This window comes from Homo sapiens, chromosome 2, assembly GCF_000001405.40.
Source record: "Homo sapiens chromosome 2, GRCh38.p14 Primary Assembly".
NCBI classification, from domain to species: domain Eukaryota; kingdom Metazoa; phylum Chordata; class Mammalia; order Primates; family Hominidae; genus Homo; species Homo sapiens.
The window spans coordinates 14303012-14322125 of NC_000002.12; the positions used below are offsets into that span (position 1 = coordinate 14303012).

The 19114-nt window shown below is 39.0% G+C and overlaps 1 long non-coding RNA gene across 1 annotated transcript in view; it reads right to left on the reverse strand.

Annotated features, from left to right (window-relative positions):
- Window positions 1-19114, reverse strand: part of LINC00276 (long intergenic non-protein coding RNA 276) — a 172085-nt gene that overhangs the window by 74138 nt on the left and 78833 nt on the right. The window contains exon 2 of the long non-coding RNA NR_103814.2: window positions 13958-14092. This is a non-coding gene — a long non-coding RNA (long intergenic non-protein coding RNA 276). The remainder of the gene's footprint in view (window positions 1-13957; window positions 14093-19114) is intronic.

The window sequence follows — 19114 nt, forward strand, 5'->3', positions numbered from 1 at the left end:
CCATAAAATTCACTCCTTAAAGTGTGTAATTCAATGGTTTCTATCATATTTACAGAGTTGGGCAACCATCACCATAATCAGTTTTAGAACATTTTCATTACCTAAGAAAGAAACCTTATACTCATGAAAAGTCACTCCTTAATTTTCCCCACTTTTTCACCTCATCGTTTGGCAATCAGTAATCTACTTTCTGTCCCAATAAATTTGCCTATTCTGGACATTATATAAATAGGATCCTACAATATGTGGGCTTTTGAGACTTGCTTCTTGCACCCAGGATAATGGTCTCAATGTTTGTCTATTTTGTAGTGGGCATCAGCACTTTGTTCCTTTTCTTTGATGAGTAACAATTCATGGTGCGGATTGACCCATTTTATTTACAGCCATTTATCAGTTTGTAGACATTGTGGTTGTTTCTACATTTTGACTATTATGAATAGTGTTGCTGTGAACCTTCAAGTAAAAGTTTTAGTGTAGATGTGTGTATCCATTCCTCTTCAGTAGATAACCAGAAGTAGGATTATGAGATCATATATGAAACTCTATATTTAGCACTTTGAGGAACTGAAAAACTGGTTTTGAAAATGACTGCACAATTTTACATTTTCATTAACAGTGGATGAGGGTTTCAAGTTTGCGACATCTCTATCAGCATATATCATTATATCTTTTTTTATTTTAGACATTCTATTATGTACAAAGCAGTATCTCATTGTGGACTATCAGTTTTTAAAAGTTTACCAAAAATCTGAACACTACAGGATACTAACAATATTAATTATCACTAATGTTTATAGGCTTAGTGATGATCTCAGAAGTTTTCTTTTAATAATTGGGAGAAAGGGAAGAGGCTGGGAAGAGGAGTTGAAATGAAGCAAGATGGATCATGAGTTATGAATCATTGAAGCCAGGTAACAGTCATTTAAGCACGCATTATACTATTGTCTCTGCTTTATTCAAGGTTTAAAGTTTTCTGCTCACAAAAGTATTTTTCTAAGTTGACTGGGATCTCTTAGTAAACACATTCAGTGACCTACTGTAAAATTCTTCTAGATTTGGAGAACTGGGCTTATTTAAAATGACTATATTCTCTAACATATTTCTTATCCATCTCATGTTAAATTTTTCTCCCCTAAAGCATTTGTTTTCTATTTCCAGCAAGCTTATCAAGTTATTTAAAGAAGTTAGTGGAAACAAAATGAGAATTGAATATGTTTTCCTTATTTCATTATTGTCTTTTTTAGATCCCATGGTCTATCTGTAGTTTCAAACCTTTGAAAAGATAGTGTTGCATGGATGATATTTAAGATAGGCAGAAGCTTTTATGCTTCTAACTGAGATGACTGTTGGAAATGCACTGTTCCTCACAACCCAGTACTCAAAGATACATATATTAACATAAAAAACATTTTCACATTGCTTTTCTATTATTTTATGTTCTATTATGTTCCATTCTAATACATTGTTTTTTTCTTAGCTCTGGTTATGACACACTAAGTTGACTTAATAAACAGAGTGACTCATAGTTCCAAAAACAGTGGCTTAAAAAACATTGTCTTAGATGGAGTAACAATCTATTCTCTTCTTGAAAAATCTAGTAGAAGTTTCTTGAAATTTCCCAAAATAACTGGGATTAATTAACATAATGATCAAATAGTTTTTCATAAATCAAATTGCATTATTTTGTACTTTATTTCACTCACATTTCTTCCTTCACTAACACTGATGTCTACGTTCATCTCTTGGTATTTAGAATTCTATTCAATCTTTGATTTAATTTATTTTCATGAATGGTATAGCATCAGAAGTAGCATAGAGACTCCAAGAATACTTATATACATAATCCAGTAAACTATCCCTCTGTGGCTTCAGTAAAACACCGTGGCCCAGAATTATCAAGTGATTTGCATAAAGAAGACACAATTAATGACAGCATTGGTACTAAAATCAAGGACTTCTCACTCCTAGTCTAAGACATAGTCTACTATACCAAGCTTTGATGAATTAGTTCCTGATAGGATAGACAATTAGGAGATGAAGGCCATTTTCATAGGATGGGATTACTATTGATGTAGATGCTTCAATTACTATTTCTTCTTTAAAGTCTGTTTGCAGCAGTAGCTAAATGGAAATCAACTAATTTTCAAAAGCATAGTCTGCCATAAGGCGGATTTATGAGAAAATGGTGAAAAAAATAATGTATTATTGATCTCAGGAAGCTATTTTTACATTTTTCTCTTTAAATAGTAAATGCACCATTTTCAAACTCACTTTTGCCATTTCGCCATCATTGTTTATGGGGAGCTGCCTACATCTTTAATAAAGTCTGATTTAATTCTACTGATGCCTTAATACTGATAAGGTGCCTACTATGGGTTGTGTCACCCCAAAAGATATGTTGAAGCCCTAACTCCCAGTACCTTAGAACGTGGTATCATTTGGAAAGAGAATCTTTATAAAGGTAATCACTTTAAAATTAGGTCGTTAGGGTAGACCCTAATCCAATATGACTGGCATCCTCATAAAAGGGAGAAATTTGGAGACAGAGGCACAGATACAGAGAGAACACCATATGAAGATGAAGGCGAAGGTCAGTGTGGTGCTTCTACAAGTCAAGGTATGGCAAAGATTGCCAGCAACTATCACAAGCTGTGGGAGAGACATGGAAGTCTCCCTCACATCTTTCAAAAGGAACCAACCCTGCCAACATCTTGATCTTGGACTTACAGCCTCCAGAACTGTAATACAGTATGTTTCTGTTGTTTAAGCCAGCTACTTTGTGGTGCTTTGTTAAGGTAGTCCTAGCAAACTAATATGGGACCTCTGCTAGAGAACAGAGATATTCCTGAATGTGTTCATTCTCCTTCACAAGTTAACCCTTGACTCTAAAAATTTCATGGATGAGCTGTGAAAAAATGGCAGTGGGTATTCAGTACAGCCTCAGGGAACTCTGTACCTCTCATATCTTCTCTCTAGCCATAATGACTGCAGCCTCACCCTGTATACCTGGGCTCCATTCCTTAGTCTTCAGCTGCCCCCCAACTTTCCAGTCAAATGTCCTACCATCATGTGTAGGTAATTAAGACTCCGTGTCCGTCCTTTTGTAAGAAAAATGAATCTTTGATTCCTTATTTATTTATTTTTTTGAGATGGAGTCTCACTCTATTGCCCAGTCTGGAGTGCAGTGGCACAGTCTCAGCTAACTGCAACCTCTGCCTCCTGGGTTTAAGTGATTCTCTTACCTCAGCCCCCTGAGTAGCTGGGACTACAGGCACCCACCACCACTCCCAGCTAATTTTTATATTTTTTGTAGAGATGGGGTTTCACCATGTTGGTCAGGCTTGTCTTGAACTCCTGACCTCTGGTGATCTGCCTGCCTGAGCCTCCCAAAGTGCTGGGATTACATGTGTGAGCCACGTGCACCTGGCCTTGTCTTTGTATCTTTAGGGAAATACCCTAAGCTTTACCAATTAGCCCAAGCATTCAAAAGTGTTTATAAAAACTCTCACGCAAATCGACTTTCAGATTCCTCATTATCACTTTCATTTTTAAATTGAGTAGCTAAGAAAACTCTTCTTTTTCCTACACTCTGTACTTCCATAAATGCAATTACATATGTAAAGTTCTCCCACTCAGTTTTATTTTATGCTCTCCTTCTATAAATGGGCCATGTATATTTTCATACAATTTGTCAATGCAAACATTGCAAAGGAGATAGTCCTGTAGCATGTCATTAACAGAGTTTCTCTAGGATGGCAACTGTCCATTTGCTGCCTTCACTGGATGAATGTTTAACCAGCTTTTAATCTACTGTCTTCATCTAGTCAATAGACATAGCCTGAGTAATGTTGTCAAATTCCTTTTCCTTGTTGGTGCTAAGATTCACCATGTTTTTGGTATTTTCTTGTTTCACTGAACAGAGAGAACATGAGAGAGAGAGATTTAAAAACTGTAGAGATGGATTTAAAAATGTATCCCCCTTGCAATGACTCTTCTGTCAGATGCCTCTCTGACCCTCTTTTCTTAGTTTTTCAAACATTTAACCTTGTGAATTCAGATGGGTTCCTTCTTCAGACCCACATGATGTTTTAAGGCAATTAATAATCTCTGTCATAGTGACAGAAAATTGTTTCTAGGAAGGACATTGATTTAAGTGTCTATAGTCTATTGCATAAAAATCTTACTAAATTCCATTCACTTAAGTTTAATCTCTTTGTGTTAAACAAGTCAGATTTTCCTTCTTTAAAAAACAGATTATTATATCTGCCTGTTATTTGGAGAAGAGACATGTGAAATCACCTATATAATCTCACTATCAGAAACTGCTTCTTTTCCTGCCACTGAGATATATAAATCACGTTTAGAGTTTTCTGAGAATCTATCAAAGCTGAAAAGATTTCATAAAATTGCTAGCTGCCTCTAATTGACTTCTACCAATATGGAGATGGTACAGTAGCAATTTTGTCAAAGATCATTATACCTAAATGTATCTACCTGTTCATTCTAATAATTATGGAAAACATATTCAGAATTGTGCTCTGTGCTGTGAGAAATATAAAGATTTACGAGACACTGATTATGTCCTTGAAGAGGACATAGTTAATTAGAGAAGAGGATATACATTTAAATAAGGTGATACAAGGAAGACCCTATGTGTCCATGAAGAAATGGTTGCATACAAGCGCCAAAGTTAGGTGTAAAAGTGAAATAACACTTGAATAATTAACAATGTGATAAATATTCAATTAGTGAGATAGAAAGAATAAAGTCTCCTGTGGAAGAACTCAAACCACTCATGATAGGAATATCTAGGAGCTCACTCTGGTTGGTATAAGAGCTACATGATGTTGAGTAGTTGGATCACACTGCTGTCATGCATCAAATCACATCTGCATGCCAAATAAGAAGGACGGCTTCTTTGTGCAGGAGATGGGTTTGCAATGAGGACATTAGAGTGGTGAAATTTATGACAGAAACATGAGAACATATCTCTGCTTATTCTTAGAACTTCTAATGAGCAACATCAGACAAAAGTCCAAGTTCTTTAGAGATTCCATTAGTTGAAAGCAAATTAGAATATTTTTATGGGTGCCTCGAGTAGTGCCATGATGGCCCTAAATATTTTTTTAAACTGTGGAGCCCTTACAAAATTAAAATTCCTACTGGGAAGAGACTGAGTGTTGGGGTTGGTGAGACCAGATTTCAAATGTGAACTCTGACTTTATGAAATGTATAGATTTGGGCAAATTACATGACCTCATCTGTAACACAGGGAATTAGCTATCTCTTTGGTGTGTGTGTGTGTGTGTGTGTGTGTCTATGTGTGTTTAGGTGTGTGTTTAACATATATCATGATGTAATGTTTTAAATAGGCCAGGTGCCGTGGGAGGTTGAGATGGGCAGATAGCTTGAGCTCAGGAGGTCAAGGCCAGCCTGGGCAACATGGTGAAACCTTGTCTCTACAAAAAAATACAAAAAATGAGCTAGGCATGGTGGCTGGTGTGCCTGTGGTCCCAGCTACTCAGAAGGCTGAGGCTGGAGGATTGTTTGAGCTTGGAAGTGGAGGTTGCAGTCAGCCGAGATTGCACCACTGCTCTCCAGCCTAGGTGACAGCTAGAACCTGTCTAAAAAAAGAAAAAAAAAAAAAGAAAGAAAGAAAAGAAAGAAAAAAGAAGGTATAAATAATATAATATGCCAGAGATAGCAGAGATGTGAAAGATACCAAAAATGCTCATAAATTCAAACTAGCTGACTGGTGTAAGATGCATGATATGCAGAAAATCTTAGAAGAAAGTGGTAAATTCCCCCACATTTTCTTTCCAGGAGTACTTGGAAAGAGAAAAAAATTGCATACATAGATTAATAGATCAATTATTTCAGATCCTGTTGGGAAGAATAGCAGCAAAATGTATGAGGTCTGGTGACATTTTTTTTCATATACAACAAGTATGGAATACAGGCTCCAGGAATAAAGGAATGGTATTGACATCTGTCTAAACACAGGATATCTGGCACACTTAAAAAACGAAAGCCCCCTCTCCTGCCTTTGTGTCTCCAACCATCCTGCCCCAGTGGATTGGTCCCCTTCCAGGAGCAGCCAGAGGCAACACTGAGGATATGATAGGATTGTCAGAAGGCACAATCTGTTGCTCCTATATAAAGTGAGAGGTAACAGCTTTCCAGAAGCAGACAAGGGACATCTTTATACAGGCCAGCTCAGCCCGTCTAAACTAGGTTTCTATTTGTTTTATGGTTCTGTCACTTTTCTTTCTAACAAAGCAAGTCTCTCCTTATCCTCAGAATTTATTTGAGAGTAAGGGTGCTTTATACCAATATTCACCTTCTATGAACCAGCAGAGAGTTTACCTTGAACCTAATGAACCTTAAACTCAGAGCCCCTCACTTTCTTTCTTTCTTTTTTTTTTTTTTTTTGAGATGGAGTCTAGCTCTGTTGCCCAGGCTGGAGTGCAGTGGTATGATCAAGTGATTCTCCTGCCTCAGCCTCCCGAGTAGTTTGGATTACAGTTACCCACCACCACGCCCAGCTAATTTTTGTATTTTTAGTAGAGACGGGGTTTCACTGTGTTGCCCAGGCTGGTCTCGAACCCCTGACCTCATGATCCACCCACCTTGGCCTCCCAAAGCGCTGCGATTTCAAGTGTGAGCCACTGTGCCCAGCCCAGAGCCCCTCACTTTCACAGATCTGCATTTAATTTTGCATTAGTACAAAATACAAATATAAATATTATTTAACTCATCAAAAATACCCTCAATCATATGAGCTTTAGGCCCCAGGATTCCCCCGGACATACAATATTGGAGTGACCAAGTAAATTCCCACTTTCATATCCTCCATCAACTCCACTCCCTATACATGAAGTACCAATGACTCTGGCCAACTTCCTCCACAAGACTCATCTGTTAACACTCCCTTTCATTCACCATTTACCCTTGTATCACTACTTGACCATGTCACTTTACATCCTGGGATTTCTACACCAACTTTTCTCTCTAGCTAGAATGCCATTTTCCCTGAATCAAACTGGAGGAGCCTTTCTTACCCTTCCTAATCTAATTCAAATGTTCCCTCTGCAGGCCAGGCACAGTGGCTAACGCCTGTAATCCCAGCACTTTGGGAGGTCAAGGAGGGCAGATCACTTGAGATCAGGAGTTCTAGACCAGCCTGGCCAACATGGAGAAACTCGTCTCTACTACAAATACAACAATTAGCTGGGCATGGTGGTGTGCACCTGTAATCCCAGCTACTCGGGAGGCTGAGGTTTCAGTGAGCTTGAACTTGGGAGTCAGAGGTTGCAGTGAGCCAAGGTTGCTCCATTGCACTCCAGCCTGGGAGACAGAGCAAGATTCCATCTAAAAAAAAAAAAAAAAATTCCCTCTGCAAAGTTCTCCCAGATCCTCTAGAGGAAAGCCTTCAATGCCTGATGTGCTTCCAGAGCACTCTTTACTCTCTATTCTAGCACTTGCCACATTGCCTTGTAATTAGCTATTGTGTGCCTTTTCCACACAGAAGCTCCAGGAGCAGGTAGCACATCTTGACTGCTTCTTCATTCCTGGAGCCTAAAGCAGTGCTCGGCACAGGCAGTGTTCAGTAAGTAGTAGCTGGTGGAGTGCCTGGTTTCAGAACCCCTCCAAGGACCTCCACACGACCTCATCATGTCCTACAGGTTAGAGTCAGGAGGAAAATTACTCACTGATCTTGCTCTCTACCCACAACCAAATTTTCATATTCTCTTAGGTATCAGCATTATCAAACCCCTTACTTTCATCTCTCCTCTATTTCAGTTGCAAAATCCTATTTCAGAATAATTTTACAACTTCATCTCCTCTTCTACAAGGTAAGGGCATATGCAAATTTGAGTTTAAAAAGTAAATGCTTTGAATACAAGTTTTCTGCAGCACAAAGGCCAATTGGTATTAGCTTGGCTTATGTTTGACCTAAAAGAAGTTGGGCAACTTCAATGGTCTTTCTAATGACCACATCTATCCATATATCTGAATAAGTCAGTAACCTTCCCATGTGTGGACATGGGCAGACACTGAACTCAGCAGAAGAAAAGGGATAGGGGATGCTGACCTCTATTTCCCTCACCGATTGATTTCTTCATCCAAACATTTAGCAAACATCTGTTAAATATTCAAAAAGTACATGCCAGGTACTGTGCCAGAAGTTGTGAGTACAGAAATTAACTAGACACAGTCCTTGCCTAATCAAGAAGCCTACAATTCAGAGTAAGGAGAAAGGACATGTATAAATAGGTACAGTGCAACTTAAGAAATGCTGTAATAGTGCTTCAGGGTGGGTTGATGTCCTAGTTCATTTTCTGTTTCTTATAACAGAATACCTGAAATGGAGTAATTTATTTTAAAAAGGAATTTATTTCTTACAGTGATGAAGGCCAAGAAGTCCAAGGTTGAGGGGGTGTATCTGGAGAGGGCGTTGTGGCCAGTGGAGACTCCCTGCAGAGTCCTGAGGAAGTGCAGGGCATCAAATGGCAAGGGGATTGAGTGTGCTAGCTAAAGTCTCTCTTTCTTTTCTTATAAAGCCACCATTGTCATTCTCATAGGGAGTCATTAATCCATTAATCAATTAATCCTTTAATTTATTAATCCATGAATAGATTGATCCATTCATGAGGGTAGAGCCCTCATGACTCAATCACCTCTTAAAGCCTCCACTTCTCAATACTGACACATTGGGGATTTTCAACATGAGTTTTAGGGACTCAAACCACAGCAGGTGAGTTGAGAAAGACTTAAATCTAAAGAAAATTTCTATTGAGTTTTGAAAAATGAATAAAATTTGAACTATACATAAGACAGATACCATAAGGGGTTTGGACTTTTATCTTGAAAGCATGGATATCCATTCAGAGGCTTAAAAAGGAGAGATACAATCTTTAGGAAGATCACTCTGGTAGAAAAGTAGAATACAATATACGGCTGTCATGGTGTGGAGAACAGTTAGAAGATATTTTCATAATCTACATGATAATCATGAAATTCAAAGGTATTTATAGGCACAAGAATCTATAGGACAATGTCCTGGTTGAATGGCAAATGTAAAGAAGGAGTCATCAAAACTGCTTCTAAGATTTCTAGTTGGCTCTGAATTAGAAGGTAGAGGGGATGAGGAAGATCTAAGCTAGTGATCATTCAGATAGGTGGAAGACAGTAGAGCCAGAAAGATAAATCAAATAATATCTAGGAAGAAGCTTACAGTCACCTTGGAGGAGCTAGGGCAGAAAATGAGGTTGAACATAGAAATGAATTTATGAGACAAAAAGCTTACACAACAGAGCAACAGGAGATGGGGGAAAGAAATGAATCTGAAAAATCAGTCCATGAGCAACATTGTGAGGTGTGAAGAGTCTGGTTTTATGTGATGCTAGCTCTGTGAAAGAGAAGATCTCACAAGCATGTCATTCCCCATCGTAAGCATATACATCTACCCCATCTCTCAGATCAAGACAGAGGGGAGGGAGCCTTCTGGTGAGGGCAGAGAATGGTGGGGTCCTGTTCTCATTGGTAGATCTACTTAATAAAATATCTGGAGTCGATGATTCATAAGATTTGGGAGTTAAAGTCAGCTTTATATTAGATATTTATCCATAAGTAGCAAACTGGAGACTAGGGGAAACCATCCTTGAGAAACCAGCTTCATCTGTAGAAAAACTGCACCTAGAGTAGGACACATGATGAGGGAGCCCACAGTTCATGACTGGGGGTGAGGATTCTAAGCATAAAAATTACTATTGTTAATGCCCACAGCAATGTTGATTAGAATGTTATAAGAAAGAGCTATAGAATTACACTACTGTGTAACTGGCCCTTTCATGATTTAGCTGTGTAACATTAATATTGCCACTTATTTCTGTTGACTTGGTTTTCTCATCTGTATATTGGCCATAATGTACTTTTTCTGAATGGTAAACAGAACTAAATGAGACTTAAAGGGCCTAATACGATGCCTCGTCCATAGTGAGTACTCAATGCTGACCATTAGTCCTTTTTTTTTTTTTTTAATCAATTGTTCATTGGTTTTACTATGCTTTGTTTGCATATGAACCAGCCCAGGCTGGGGTGTAGAGATGAGCTTTGCATTGGAACAATTCATAGCTCTATCTATGAAAGGCTGGGGATAGAATGACAAAGGCAGGGGAATTCAGTTCTGGGGTTGACAGAATTGGATTACTCACAAATTAATGTTTTCTTGAACTGAAAATAGATTTTCATGGAAGAGAACAATGAAAGACTGGATGTTTCTGCCAAGTCTTCCAATGATGTGCAATCCCTGAAACCTGAGGCTGTGCCATTAGAGAAGATTCAACATGGCCAGGGATGGCCCTTGAATATGACCAACTTCCTAACCATCCTGAGATAGGGCAATTACTTAATTTTTATGGACAGCTAATGCTAACCTAGCAGCTTGCTTGAAAGAAACCTCCTTTTCAATGCAAGCTGTGTAATGAGGGAGTTGCTTGACTAAGCAAATTTTGGGTTAATGAAAAACAGACGCTTCTGTCACCATGAACAGCGTCTGCCTGTGTTAAGACTAAATTGTGTATATTGCTGACTGCCCTACATTTTTGCATCAAAAAGAGAGTGGAGAGATGACATTTGCAGTAATTTGGCTAAGGGCTATAGCAACCTAATTAGAAATGTTCAGTTCTACAAGTTTACAAAATTGTATTGTGGCAATCGCTCTTGAAAAATTCAATTCTGAAAACGCAATAAACAAAACCCAAAACGGGTAGATAACACACTTTCTGAGGATAAGTTCTGTAATAGAAGCAAGAGAACAAAAGCTCTATGCCCATAAAGCAGTGAAAATGGAGCCTCTTTGTTCTGAAAGCCAGACTGTCCTGCCAGGTCTGCCTGGTTTCTGGCCACTGCAGCCCCTGTGCCCCCAGCCTGAGCCACTTTTATCTGCACGCAGACTTTCTCTCTATTTCCCATTTAACTCTCCTTCCCTTCCACATTCTCCCTGGGACACTGTCCCATTCTCCCAGGGACAGCGGTGCCTAAACTTCAGTTACAGTACTTGTGAATGACCTGGAATACTTGATTAAAATGTTCAGCCTCTTTGGATAAGTTTCTCCTCTTGTTCACTCAATGTATGATTTTGAATGTCTACTCTGCCAGGCACTATCTTCCTATCAGATTTCAACATTTTAAGTTACATTTAAGAAAGACCACTATAATTTTAATCACTGTGGCCACTACAACACCATGGATAATATCTCACACATGACGGATACACAGTAACTGTGAATCAATGTTTTTCTCTAGACCAATGATTCTCTGACTGATTATGCATGAAAATAAAAGTAGGAAACTTCTAAAACATACCAGTGCTTCAGCCCCATTTCAGATCAATCGAATTATAATCTCTGGGGTGAAGCCCAAGCATCAGTATGTTTCAAAAGCTGCCTGGATTATTTAATGTGTAGCCAGGTTTGAGACACACTGTGCTGCATCTCTGGATCTCAAATTTGAGTGTGCAGAGAGTCATCTGGAAGGTCAGATAGTTTTGCATACTCCCAGGATTCAGGTGTAGAAATTCCAGTTCAGGAGGTTTGACAACACAAGATCTGTTTATGTTATGAAGCTGCTTCTGGTGCAGGTGACCAATGGACCGTACTCAGAGAACTTCTCTTGGACAAATTCTGACTGCACAAGAAAGATTTAGGGAACTTGGTCTGATCCTTAAGCTTCTTTGCTGTTAAACATATTAGTCCCTCAAGCTAGACACACCTACTCATCTTCAAGACCCAGAATTTCCTGTAAACACTTTATGATGTACCCTCCCCATGAGTAATTAATCTCTCCCCTCTTATATCTTTATTGTAGCTATAACATAGTATGTAATCTACTCTGGGAAATTTGGCTTATATGTGAATCTTCCTTCCTAATCTTTGAGGCCCCCAAAGATTGAGGTATCTCTGTACCCTTACCTCCTGGTGTGTCTTAGAATATAGAGTAGGTGACTCTTAATACACAGATAGATGATTAAATGACTCAGGTTGGGGTCAGGGTTTCTATGGTCAGCTGTAACCTTGTGACTCAAGGAAGACGTATTTCTTCAATCTAAATACCTATCCTGGCACCCTGTCAAGCATCCTGGGACTAGGGTCTTTAGACGTCATGTCCTGGCTTATTTTTATCATCATGGAGACTGGAGCCCTGGCCTTAACCCTTAACTTGGTGTCTGGAACCTGACTATCCAGTAACAGACTTCACCAATACAAGCCTCTTTTCTGCATTTCTAAATTTTACCTGTGAGTTAGTCATCTTTGCTGCAGTAACCCATTACCTCAGAATCTCAATGGCTTATGAAAACTGAGTCTTACTCTCCACCTCAAGAAATGTGGGCTAAATGGCAGTGTGGGCCTGAATGTACTCCACATCTGAAATAAATGAGTGTAGACATTCTGTTAGCAGAAGATAAAAGGGAATTGCTGACAGAAGCATGAAATATTTCAGAAAGATTTTGATCCAACCTAGCATTACATCATGTGTGCTTAGATTTCATTAGTCAAAATACATCCTTTGGCTGAGCCTGATAATGCGGCAGGAACCATACTCCCATGGAAAGGTCCCAAAATTCACCAGGCAATGAACAAGGATGTGTAATTCTTTCACATGGAAGGGGAAGCAAATGTCTGGGTAATACAGTGAGCTACGTGTGCTTCTGTTTTCCCGGTCACGATGAAGTCTCTGCCTAGGACTCTCTCCTCATCCTTCCTATTAATGCTCATGGTGCCAATCATTTGGTCTACAACTGCAATTCTGCCTTTTGGACTATGCTCATTTACCTGTAGCTGGAGCTATCTTCACAGCTTTTTTGTAGAAACATCTTTCTCCAGTTTCTACCTTCTTCCAGTGTGTCTCCTTAAGGTAATCATGTCAGGGTTCAGCCAGGATCTAAAACAGAGGTTGCCTGTGGACAAAATCCAGGCTTCTCTCTGTTTTTGTACAGCCCACCCGCGCTGCTCCAGAGGACTAGCATTTTGAGTTGTGGAAACAAAGCTGGGTTTCCCTTTCATCCTGTTCCCCATTCTCCCCAAGGCTTTGCTACCCTGGCCAGTAGCTAAGCCTCACCATTGGTCCACACCTGCCCTAGTTGCCATCTACATGTTGAGGTCTCTGTCACTGGCAACGTCAGGCATGGGGCAATGAAATCTCTGTCTAGAAGTTGGTAACTCACTGAGTCTCCTTGCTCCAACCAGCTTGCCTAGTTAAGAAGGCCAGACTTCCCAAGAGAAGAAAGAGCATGCCTAGATCTGGTTGTCACTGGGACAGAAGCAACTAGGGACAATCTCTTTCAACCCAGGCCGGCATTCCATCTCCTCTGAAGAACGTCAGCCAATAGATGGACCCAAACCATGCTCACCAACCCAGAGGTCTGTGGACCACCCAAGGGAAAAAAGCCAGCAGGGCAAGCTTTGTCTCTGATCTCTCTTGTTATACAGCACTCATAGAGTATCCTCAATGTGGCCTCTTGGCCCACAGATTCAAAATATTTAATATCTGTTCCTTTAGAGAAAAAGTTTGCCAATTGCTTCTCCCAAGTACCATAGGCTCTCCTTTAAAAAGTAAACTTCAAAAATTGTTTCTGAAATTGGTCCCAAAGACTCATTGTGTTTCAATACCCTATCTGGTGCAATTGTTATGAAACAAGTATGAAATAGATTTCATCTAGGGCTGCTGGCTTCTTTTTCATTTTCAACATCTCCTGGGAGAATAGCTCCAGGCCTGTGGAGTCTCTGTCTGTTTTTCTAAGTACTGATTGAGACACAGGGTTTGAAAATGAAGTGGTGAGGAACAACAGAGGCTTTATTTGTGGTTACTAACATTTGCCAAAACAGTTTCAATTTTGTCTGGATTTGCTGAGGACCAAGTGTAGCTCTCCATGAAAGTAAATAATTGCACCAACCTGTCTCGAGGTGTTCTTGCTTCCTGCTCTCACTGGTTGGTTTCTTGGCCATCAATTGGGTGGATTAATCCTTTGCACTGGTAAAATCCCATGACCAGATTCTTGTTTCATTGCTTTCTAGAGAAGGAAATGAGTCTGCAAGGCATAAAAATGAATGGACCTAGTTAAGCTCATATATTTCCTTCAGGATATACCTGTGAGTGAAGAGTGATTGCAAGTGTTGGTGTTGGGTGAGGGCAAGCTTTCTGGCTCATGGAGAGCATCTTCTCACAGTATGCTCACATGGCTCAAGGGGCAAAAGAACTCTTTAGGGCCCTCTTGTAAAAGAGCATTAATCATATTCGTGAAGCTTCCACCCTCCAGACCTAACCATCTCTCAAAGGCCCTGCTTAATACTATCACCTTGGGGGTTAGAATTCCAAAATTCATGTATTGAAATCATATAAATTTTGGAGGAACACAAACTTTCATACCATAGCAGATCCCATCAGAATTTTTGAGACAGTTCAAAGAATGCTATTTCCAGAAAAATTTTTAGTATCCCTCTTCATTATAAGTTAAAAAAAATCACATTTACCATAGGTATCATGCCTGAGTGATTCATTTCCACAATGGCTTTTTATTTTTTTATTTTATTTATTTATTTATTTATTTATTTATTTATTTATTTATTTAATTTATTTTTTTGAGATGGAGTCTCACTCTGTAGCCCAGGCTGGAGTGCAGTGGTGCAATCTTGGCTCACTGTAAGCTCCACCTCCTGGGTTCATGCCATTCTCATGCCTCAGCCTCCCAAGTAGCTGGGACCACAGGGGCCTGCCACCACACCCGGCTAATTTTTTGTATTTTTAGTACAGACAGGGTTTCACCGTGTTAGCCAGGATGGTCTCGATCTCCTGAACTCCAGATCCGCCTGCCTTGGCCTCCCAAAGTGCTGAGATTACAGGCGTGAGCCACCGTGCCCAGCCTCCACAATGGCTTTTTACCCTTTTCTGTTGATCAAAAACTTATTCTTACAACCAGAAATTTCATTAATCAGCCAATCAACTAATCAATAAATTACCTGCTTCTGAGTATTTGCCAAAGTCATTTGTGTGATCTGTCATGCTGGATTTGGGTAGGATGAGGAGGTCTGTATTAGATGTTGTGTGCTGATGTTAGAGGGAAGACGATGGACTAATGCCTGAAGCAGGATTCATTCTGCCTCTGATACAGAAATATCCATCTCCAATCAGTTGAATATTGACCACCTGCTTCACTTGTTTCATGGGTCTCTGGAGAAAATGTCAGGGATAGAGAGCTTATATGCTATTTTCTCCCACTTGCACTGGATACCACTGAACCTGAGGGGCTATTTGGGTATCTAGACAACACTAAAATCTTGGGTGAAATACACAATGCTGTCTGTCAATTGCCTTTTTAAATTGAGGGAATAAGGGTAATCCATGAGTCTTCCAACATTTTGGCATTTATATTTCAGGGTTTGTATGACAAAGCAAACCCCAAGAAGATACATTCAATTTACAATCCTTACCAGCATTTTTAGAGTGCAATTATATTTACTTTTTCCATGTAGTTCTTGTAATTTGGTGTCTCAAACTTTAGTGATGAGGACATAATAACTTGATACATTCCCAGTGCCTGATCTCAAAGTGAAAATGCAATAAATATTCTTAAGCACCTATTGCATGCATTGAATGATGCTATGTCTTGGGCTTACATAGTTAAAGAAGCTGAAGTTTTCTCTATCAAGTAATTAAATGATTCATTGGATAAAGTTAGAAGATCTAGATCTATTCGCAAAGTTTATCTTCCGAGTTATTCTGCACAGGCTGACTTTATTATAAAGGCGACCTTTCACTTTCCAAGCCTTAGTTTCCTTGTCAATGAAATGAAGATAATAGTACCTCCTACCTTAATTAATTGTTGTTGGCTTTAATGATAATGTATATGTTATGTATCAATTCGGCAACTTTCACATTATTGGAACCTGATTAATATCAGGTACTGTTACTAGTAATCATGTTATTAGTAATATTATAGTGATCACAAATGCCATTTTGGTTTTTCAAAAGTATTTAGTAAGAAAAATGTTTCAAAAAAAGATATAAATTTAAAAATATAAAATTATCACCTCCCATAAAGAGAGTTATTTTGAGATTAAAAAAAAAAAGTGCACAACATATTCCAGGAGGGTTAGCACAATGAACTCCTACCAGGTAAAATAGCTCCAATTTCCCGGAGCTTTCACACCTGTTTTTCACAATGGCAAAAAGATTAAGACAGCTCAATCTCTGAATGTGCCAAGTGCTTTTTACTTGGAGGCTGTGGAGCTGGAATGTCAGGAGTTGGGGTGAGGAGTAGTCCAGGAGCCAGGAACAAGTGAGTTCTCCAAAAGTACACACGTCTAAGTGTACCCAATGGCAAACCATTGCTTTCCTGAGCCACATTTTTAGGTTCTTTTCTATCCCACACTCCATCTTCCATATACAAATGCCTGAGAGACAGCACAAGGAAAGGAATGTCAAAATGCAGTGCCTTTACTCCTGGACAGAGTATCTGTCTAGATCTTCCAGTTTCCCTAGCCCGGAAGGCCAGAAAGTAATCCGAAAGATGCTGTCTTCTGTTTTATGAAGCCCAAATCCAGACCTGAGCCACCAGTCTCTGCTTCTTTACTACTTAGTCTTGCCCCAGCCTCTTCCTGTGTCAAAATGGCCTCCCAATATAGAGTTTCTATTTTCTCCCACCATGTGTCTACTTCAAATGATAATTCAAGAGCCTTTCAAGACCAATTGTGTATCTCAGAGGACATCGTTGGACTTCCAATAAGAAACCCATTGAACAGTGCTGGGAACTACTTTTGGTACTCAATGAGTATATGGATGCATTAACACAAAAAATATGAAGGATTAAATTAAAACACGGCCTTATACCCTAATAGGAAGGTAAAACTGAGTTACTTAAGTTCTGTGTTTCTTCAATTACTTTTCTTTAAAACATACTACCCCTTCTCCTGATGAACCTATAGTTTTCTTGTTTCTGCTGGAGCAAATTACCACCAAATTAGTGGCTTATAACAATATAAATATAGTCTCTTAGAGTTCCAGAAGTCACATGACTAATAGCAAAGCATCCTCAGGGCTGCCTTCTTTCTGTAGTCTCTAGGAGACAGTTCTTTTCCTTGTCTTTTCAAGCTTCTAGAGGTCACCTACAATCCTTGATTCTGGGTCTCTTCTTTCATCTCCAAAGAGCATCATTCCAACTTCTAGTTTCATCATATCTTTTTCTGATGTTAACCATATGCCTCCCTCTCATAAAGACCCCTGTAAATTCACTGGGCTCACCAGGATTGTCCAGATGGTCTCTCAGTCTCAATATCCTTAACTTAATCATACCAGCAAAGACTTTTGGCCATAAAAGGTAAGATATTCGTAGGTTCCAGTAGGGTGTGGAGTCCTGCTGGAGTCTATTAGTTTACCTACCAAGGTCCTCTGTCTTATTAGAATTCTGTGAGAGTTACAAAAAATATAAGAATTAATGGTAATTGATTTTTTTTTATTTTGTACACCTATAACCAGAATGGATAAAAGATAAAACATAATTAACCTTTCTCCAACACATCTGAGATTGGAATATGGAAAGAAAAATATGGATTTTGCTTCCAATATTCCCAATACTTTTTTCTCTTAGTCCACAGAAGTGTTTAGAAAATTCTACTTTTAGCCAAGTTGTACGTGTTTACTCTGTCCTTGGAGAATAAGCCCCTGCTTTGGGCTTTACAAGGTCACTGCCCCACTATATGTCTCTGATTCTTATGCATCCTCTGGGGTCCAGAAATGGGCAAATCAATCCACTAAGAACTACATATCTAAGAGAGAATTAAGAAAAAATAAGAAGGTAAAAAAGGAGTTTTATCAGAAATGTTCTGTATTTTCTCTTGTATTGACTGTTGGGAGAAAATGTAAATAATATACTCCTTACCACTGAGTGAAGAAGGCTTGTTTATGCTTGACTCAGTGAACAATACATAATGGTTCAATAACAAATAATAAATATGATGCACAATTTTCATCTCAAATGGGAGGAAACTGTTAGAAATGGAAAAACTCATAAATTATGACTTGAAATACCTGGCCCTGGGCAAATCATTTAACACTTTTGAGTCTTGTGTTTTTCACTTGTAAATTAAAGTCATATTTTCCTTAACTTTCTTATATAGTCATTCTTCAAGTTGCCTAAGAAAGTAAAGAAAACATTTTGTAAATTATAGTAGTTTGGATACCATCTCCTTACTCATGACAGCATGAAATTTGGAGCAATATTCTTCCTTATTGGCCACTCTTGTGGGGTCTCTGAGGTGATCCTCCTGGATCTATTCCCTGGGCACATAGAAGCCATCACTTTGGTTTTTCTAGAACTGAAAAAAATACAACTTCTCTGAAATGAGTGTGTGATTCTCAAATCGAATGCTCCTGCATCATGATTTTAATGTAGAATCAGCAGAGGATGGGAGAGGCTGGGTAGCAAAGCCATTTTAGCCCTTCGTTGGAGTGGTAGCTGCTTTCTTTCCTCTTTTTTTGCTTAGTCATCATCTCATGCTGGGGTATTTTGATAGGCAGAACATGACTTCCAATCTAACTTGGAAGCTCTCTTCCCAAACAATTTGCCATCCTTCTTCCCTTTCGAGAATACATGATAAACATTCAACATTGGCATGCCACGGCACAGGGTGGAGCTCTCTAATCTATGCCTAATGAAAGCTTAGATTTACTCTACATATTCCATTTACTTACTTCATATTTGTTAGGAGTTATTAATTAATAACTCTATTTTCTGATCACCTTCTGGCAAAGTGTTAGAAGTTGGAGCAAGCTGTGTTTGTTCTTTGTTTCGAGTGTCTCTCAGAAAGAAGGGGTGACTATGAACACAACAGCCATGGCAAACTCACAACAGTTTTGGTTAGGTTAGACTGGGACCAAACTCCTTTGCCTTGAAAAGTCCAGCAGCTTGTAACATATGTAAGACTCTTGACTTCTATCTCTAGGGATGTCCCAGCCCTCCTTCCTTATTACCTACCATTCACCTAACAAATATTAAAAGAAGCATGCAATGATACTTATATTTTTGTTTCGGCATTGTCAGATCAAACAATTCTCC